Source organism: Homo sapiens, chromosome 5, assembly GCF_000001405.40.
Source record: "Homo sapiens chromosome 5, GRCh38.p14 Primary Assembly".
In the NCBI taxonomy this organism is placed as follows: domain Eukaryota; kingdom Metazoa; phylum Chordata; class Mammalia; order Primates; family Hominidae; genus Homo; species Homo sapiens.
The window spans coordinates 62223269-62230976 of NC_000005.10; the positions used below are offsets into that span (position 1 = coordinate 62223269).

Consider the following 7708-nt stretch of genomic DNA (forward strand, 5'->3'; position numbering starts at 1 on the left):
ATCTCCATATATTAACATTTTTAACAATTTTTTAAAAGCAGGAAATATTAAGCATGACAAATTACGGTCAACCCGAGTTTCAATAACTCTGGGTGCCTAGCAATCTTCTAAGAGTCAAACGAAAGCAATGTTGCCTAGGTTGCAGTTTTCCAGTGTGTGTCTCCACCTACTGTATTTACTGGAAAGCTGCTGAAGCGTTCCTTCTAATCTTGAGGTTTTCAAGCGTCTATCTCTGGGACAAGCAAAGCTCTGCATTGGGCACCACAGTCTAGCACATGTTTTCAGGCACCACTAGAGGGCAGGCTAACGCTAACTTCGGGGACTACTAAGCAAGGGCTTTAGTCTCGAAAAAATGGGTAAACGCACCACTTGTTTCTTGGGTCTGTTTCTAAATGGAAAAGTACATGTGGGCATGTCCAGATTTGTATTTCGTGTTCCCTTGATTCGTTATTTAATCCTTCGGCTCACCTTTCCTTTTGTTTTCTATTTCCTCCTTCAAGTTCTTTCTCCTCTGGAGTGTAACAAATAAACCTTTTTCCCCCCCCCCCGTCAAAGCCTTAACCCATAAAAATAAATAAAGACGAAGGAACAGAAGGAAACACTGCATAATTTAGTTAGTGAAAGTTGGACAGCTGAGGTTTCCTTTGGGTTTATTCTAAAATAAAGGATTTTTTAAAGGTTCAACTTGCCTAATTTTTCATACTTTGGGCAGCTTGCCAAGATGGGAAGGGAAGGGGATTTGCAGAAAGAAGAAAACAGAGAGAGAGAGAGAGAGAGAGAGAGAGTGTGTGTGTGTGTGTGTGTGTGTGTGTGTGTGTGTGTGTGTGTGCGCGCGCGCGCGCCCTCGCGCACGCGCATAGCGGGGCGCGTTTCTGGGTGTAGGGGATGTTTATAGGGATGGAGGAAGGAAATGAAAAGCAGATGTTGAGGAGTTGGATGGTCACAGAAAGAACACTGGCCTGCAAGTATTACTGGGCCACCATGAGCAGTGCTGGGACACAGCTCCACTGGACAGCCACCCCTTTCTGTAACCTGAGAGCAGCTACCCTACTCACACCTCAGTCTCCTCATCAAGCATGTGAGAAATTTGTACTAGATGATCTTCTGGTTCAAATATGAGCCTGTGTTGAGTGAGAGAAAACATGGGGGTTAGAAACACAGGATGAATATTTGTGGAGAATCTGAGAATGACAAACAGAAAGCAAGCAAGCCAACAAATACACCATGAAGCTGGAAGAGTCTTCCAGCTGACCCAAGTGTAGAAACAGTTGCCCCATTTAGAATATTTGGAACATTTTCCCTCCCATTATCAGGGCTCTAACACCGGGCTGCCCTCTGTTCTACCCTCTGGGAAGTCCAAGGGAAAAAGGTACCAAAGCAGACAAGCAAGGATAGAGACGGTGGTGGCATTGCAGGCTAGTCTGCATTGCGGCTATAGAACAAAAATTTCCAACCCAAAATGATAAGCTAATAAAATTATAAACACAAACTTCCTCTAGCCAGTTAAAACAATGGTTCAAAGAAATACACACCCCTGGGGATCGTACTGCTATTCTTCCATAGTTAGTGGAAGTTCAGTGTTGGTTTTTCATGACTTTTGGAGGCCACTAACTTTCCATTTCACCTGCACAGTTTCAATTACTTTAATCGTATAGCTCTTTAATAATCAGCCTGGCTATGAGTTGGAAGCTTTAACTGCTCTCTGACAATAAGTAGTAGCTAATTAATTGCTACTTATGAACTTTCTATTTTTTTATCTTAATACTTCTGAGAGTCCTTTCCAGATAATCACTAGAGAATAAGGAGTTTTTACCCCCATGTGGCTATTCCTCTAAAACTAGCTATATTTAACTAGCTCTAAAATAGATGCGAACGATTGTTACTTTGCGTGCAACAAATACACAGGAAGAATTCGAAGAATTGTATTTTCAATTTGTTACATCTGCAATTTCAAGTAACCACCACTAGGGGGTGGTGCTAAATACTTAAATGGTAATTCTCAGTCTGAGTTCAAAAATGCAGATGTCTAGGTCTTGGAGAATCAGGATCTTCTGAGTAAGAGATTAGGAAATCTTCCCCTTTTTTATTATTATACTTTAAGTTCTGGGGTACATGTGCAGAACGTGCAGGCTTGTTACATAGGTATACACATGCCTTGGTGGTTTGCTGCACCCATCAACCCGTCATCTACATTAGGTGTTTCTCCTAATGCTATCCCTCCCCTAGCCACCCACCCCCCAACAGGCCCCAGTGTGTGATGTTCCCCTCCCTATGTCCATGTGTTCTCATTGTTCAACTCCCACTTATGAGTGAGAACGTGTGGTGTTTGATTTTCTGTTCTTGTGTTAGTTTGCTGAGAATGATGGTTGCCAGCTTCATCCATGTCCCTGCAAAGGACATGAACTCATCCTTTTTTATAGCTGTATGGTATTCCGTGGTGTATATGTGCCACATTTTCTTTATCCAGTCTATCACTGATGGGCATTTGGGTTGGTTCCAAGTCTTTGCTATTGTGAACAGTGCTGTAATTAACATATGTGTGCATGTGTCTTTATAGTAGAATGATTTATAATCCTTTGGGTATATACCCAGAATTGGATTGCTGGGTCAAATGGTATTTCTGGTTCTAGATCCTTGAGGAATCACCACACTGTCTTCCACAATGATTGAACTAATTTACACTCCCACCAACAGTGTAAAAGCATTCGTATTTCTCCACAACCTCTCCAGCATCTGTTGTTTCCCGACTTTTTAATGATTTCCATTCTAACTGGCATAAGATGGTATCTCATTGTGGTTTTGATTTATATTTCTCTAATGACGAGTGATGATGAGTTTTTTTTCATATGTTTGTTGGCTGCATAAATGTCTTCTTTTGAGAAGTGTCTGTTCATATCCTTGGCCCACTTTTTGATGGGGTTTTTTTTTTTCGTGTAAATTTGTTTAAGTTCTTTGTAGATTCTGGATCTTAGCCCTTTGTCACATGGATAGATTACAAAAGTTTTCTCCCACTCTGTAGGTTGCCTGATCAGTCTGATGATAGTTTCTTTGGCTGTGCAGGAGCTCTTTAGTTTAATTAGATCCCATTTGTCAATTTTGGCTTTTGTTGCCATTGCTTTTGGTGTTTTAGTCATGAAGTCTTTGCCCATGCCTATGTCCTGAATGGTATTGCCTAGGTTTTCTTCCAGGTTTTTTATGGTTTTAGGTCTTATGTTTAAGTCTTTAATCCATCTTGAGTTAATTTTTGTATAAGATGTAAGGAAGGGGTCCAGTTTCAGTTTTCTGCATATGGCTAGCCAGTTTTCCCAACACCATTTATTAAATAGGGAATCCTTTCCCCGTTTCTTGTTTCTGTCAGGTTTGTCAAAGATCCGATGGTTGTAGATGTGTGGTGTTATTTCTGAGGCCTCTGTTCTGTTCCATTGGTCTATATCTCTGTTTTGGTACCAGTATCATGCTGTTTTGGTTACTATAGCCTTGTAGTATAGTTTGAAGTCAGGTAGCATGCTGCCTCCAGCTTTGTTCTTTTTGCTTAGGATTGTCTTGGCTATGCGGGCTCTTTTTTGGTTCCATATGAAATTTAAAGTAGTTTTTTTCCAATTCTGTGAAGAAAGTCAATGGTAGCTTGATGGAGATAGCATTGAATCTATACATTACTTTGGGCACTATGGCCATTTTCATGATATTGATTCTTCCTATCCATGAGCATGGAATGTTTTTCCATTTGTTTGTGTCCTCTCTTATTTCCTTGAGCAGTGATTTGTAGTTTTACTTGAAGAAGTCCTTCACATCCCTTGTGAGTTGGATTCCTAGGTATTTTATTCTCTTTGTGGCAGTTGTGAATGGGAGTTTACTCATGATTTGGCTCTCTGTTTGTCTATTATTGGTGTATAGGAAAGCTTGTGACTTTTGCACATTGATTTTGTATCCTGAGACTTTGCTGAAGTTGCTTATCAGCTTAAGGAGATTTTGGGCTGAGACGATGGGGTTTTCTAAATATACAATCATGTCATCTGCAAACAGAGACAATTTGACTTCCTTTCTTCCTATTTGAATACCCTTTATTTCTTTCTCTTGCCTGATTGCCCTGGCCAGAACTTCCAATACTATGTTGAATAGGAGTGGTGACAGAGGGCATCCTTTTCTTGTGCCAGTTTTCAAAGGGAATGCTTCCAGTTTTTGCCCATTCAGTATGATATTGGCTATGAGTTTGTCATAAATAGCTCTTATTATTTTGAGATACGTTCCATCAATACCTAAAGAGATTTTTAAGGGGTGGTGAATTTTATCGAAGGACTTTTCTGCATCTATTGAGATAATCATGTGGTTTTTTTCATTGGTTCTGTTTATGTGATGGATTACGTTTATTGATTTGTATATGTTGAACTAGCCTTGCATCCCAGGGATGAAGCCAACTTGATCGTGGTGGATAAGCTTTTTGACGTGCTGCTGGATTTGGTTTGCCAGTATTTTACTGAGGATTTTTATATCAATGTTCATCAGGTATATTGGTTTGAAATTTTTTTGCTGTTGTTTTGTCTCTGCCAGGTGTTGGTATCAGGATGATGCTGGCCTCATAAATGAGTTAAGGAGGATTTCCTCTTTTTCTATTGTTTGGAATAGTTTCAGAAGGAATGGTACCAGCTCCTCCCTGTACCTCTGGTAGAATTCAGCTGTGAATCCGTCTGGTCCTGGACTTTTTTTGGTTGGTAGACTATTAATTACTGCCTCAATTTCAGAACTTGTTATTGGTCTATTCAGGGATTTGACTTCTTCCTGGGTTAGACTTGGGAGAGTGTACGTATCCAGGAATTTATCCATTTCTTCTAGATTTTCTAGTTTCTTTGCATAGAGGTATTTAGAGTATTCTCTGATGGTAGTTTGTATTTCTGTGGGATCAGTGGTGATATCCCCTTTATCATTTTTTATTGCATCTATTTGATTCTTCTCTCTTTTCTTCTTTATTAGTCTGGCTAGCGGTCCATCAATTTTGTTGATCTTTTCAAAAAACCAGCTCCTGGATTCATTGATTTTTTGAAGGGTTTTTTGTGTCTCTATCTCCTTCAGTTCTGCTAGTTCTCTCCATTGTGATGTTAAGGTGTCAATTTTAGATCTTTCCTCCTTTCTCTTGCGGGCATTTAGTGCTATAAATTTCCCTCTAAACATGGTTTCAGCTGTGTCCCAGAGATTCTGGTGCACTGTGTGTTTGTTCTCATTGGTTTCAAAGAACTTATTTATTTCTGCCTTCATTTCGTTATTTACCCAGTAGTCACTCAGTAGCAGGTTGTTCAGTTTCCATGTAGTTGTGCAGTTTTGAGTGAGTTTCGTAATCCTGAGTTCTAATTTGATTGCACTGTGGTCTGAGAGACTGTTTGTTATGATTTCCATTATTTTCCATTTGCTGAGGAGTGTTTTACTTCCAATTATGTGGTCAATTTTAGAATAAGTGTGATAAGGTGCTGAGAAGAATATATATTCTATCAATTTGGGGTGGAGAGTTCTGTAGATGTCTATTAGGTCTGCTTGGTCCAGAGCTGAGTTCAAGTCCTGAATATCCTTGTTAACTTTCTGTCTCATTGATCTGTCTAATGTTGACAGTGGGGTGTTAAAGTCTCCCACTATTATTGTGTGGGAGTCTAAGTCTCTTTGTAGGTCTCCAAGAACTTGCTTTATGAGTCTGTGTGCTCCTGTATTGGGTGCATATATATTTAGGATAGGCAGCTCTTCTTGTTGCATTGATCTCTTTACCATTATGTAATGCCCTTCTGTGTCTCTTTTTATCTTTACTGGTTTAAAGTCTGTTTTGTCAGAGACTAGGATTGCAACCTCTGCTTTTTTTGCTTTCCATTTGCTTGGTGAATATTCCTCCATCCCTTTATTTTGAGCCTATGTGTATCTCTGCAAGTGAGGTGGGTCTCCTGAATACAGCACACCAATGGGTCTTGACTCTTTATCCATTTGCCAGTCTGTGTCTCTCAATTGGGGCATTTAGCCCATTTACATTTAAGGTTAATATTGTTATATGTGAATTTGATCCTGTCATTATGATGCTAACTGGTTATTTTGCCTGTTAGTTGATGCAGTTTCTTCATAGCATCAATGGTCTTTATAATTTGGCATGTTTTTGCAGTGGCTGGTACTGGTTGTTCCTTCCCATGTTTAGTGCTTCCTTCAGGAGCTCTTGTAAGGCAGGCCTGGTGGTGACAAAACCTCTCAGCATTTGCTTGTCTGTAAAGGATTTTATTTCTCCCTCACTTATGAAGCTTAGTTTGGCTGGATATGAAATTCTGAGTTCAAAATTCTTTTCTTTAAGAATGTTGAATATTGGCCCCCATTCTCTTCTGGCTTGTAGGGTTTCTGCAGAGAGATCTGCTCTTAGTCTGATGGGCTTCCCTTTGTGGGTAACTTGACCTTTCTCTCTGGCTGCCCTTAACATTTTTTCCTTCATTTCAACCTTGGTGAATCTGATGATTATGTGTCTTGGGGTTACTCTTCTCAATGAATATCTTTGTGATGTTCTCTGTATTTCCTGAATTTGAATGTTGGCCTGCCTTGCTAGGCTGGGGAAGTTCTCCTGGATCATACCCTGCAGAGTGTTTTCCAACTTGGTTCCATTCTCCCCATCACTTTCAGATACACCAATCAAACACAGGTTAGGTCTTTTCACATAGTCCCATACTTCTTGGAGGCTTCATTCATTCCTTTTCATTCTTTTTCTCTAATCTTGTCTTTACACTTTATTTCATTAATTTGATCTTCAATCTCTGATATCCTTTTTTCCGCTTGATTGATTTGGCTATTGATACTTGTATATGCTTCACAAAGTTCTCGTGCTGTGTTTTTCAGCTCCATCAGGTCATTTATGTTCTTCTCTAAAGTGGTTATTCTAGTTAGCAATTCATCTAACATTTTTTCAAGGTTCTTAGCTTCCTTGCCTTGGGTTAGAACATGCTCCTTTAGCTCAGAGGAGTTTGTTATTACCCACCTTCTGAAGCCTACTTCTGTCAATTTGTCAAACTCATTCTCTGTACAGTTTTGTTCCCTTGCTGGTGAGGAGTTGTGATCCTTTGGAGGAGAAGAGGTATTCTAGTTTTTGGAATTTTCAGCCTTTTTATGCTGGTTTCTCCCCGTCCTCATGGATTTATCTCCCTTTGGTGTTTGATGTTGGTGACCTTCAGATGGAGTTTCTGAGTGGATATCCTTTTTGTTGATGTTGATACTATTCCTTCCTGTTTGTTAGTTTTCCTTCTAACAGTCAGGCCCCTCTGCTGCAGCTCTGCTGGAGTTTGCTGGAGTTCCACTCCAGACCCTGTTTGCCTGGGTATCACCAGTGGAGGCTACAGAGCAGCAAAGATTGCTGCCTATTCCTTCCTCTGGAAGCTTCATCCCAGAGGGGCACCCACCAGATGCCAGCCAGAGCTTTCCTGTATGAGGTGTCTGTTGGCCCCTGCTGGGAAGTGTCTCCCAATCTGGAGACATGGGGGTCCGGGACACACTTGAGGAGGCAGTCTGACCATTGGCAGAGCTCAAACATTGTGCTGGGAGATCTGCTGCTCTCTTCAGAGTCAAGTCTTGTTTGTTTTTAAGATAATATATAGATTAGTAATGCATATCTTGCAACCATTTTAAAGATTTCAACAGATGATATAGGATCTTTACTTCTTTATTTCAGTTCAATCCAACTCGGGTGACAATTACTGATGCCTCT

General features: G+C 40.2%; 1 annotated feature.

Annotated features, from left to right (window-relative positions):
* Positions 207-356: a silencer, noted in NCBI's record as "silent region_16050". NCBI's record gives its function as "represses an Ori minimal core promoter by ATAC-STARR-seq in GM12878 lymphoblastoid cells {active_cell/tissue: GM12878}" and the evidence as "EXISTENCE:reporter gene assay evidence [ECO:0000049][PMID:35858748]".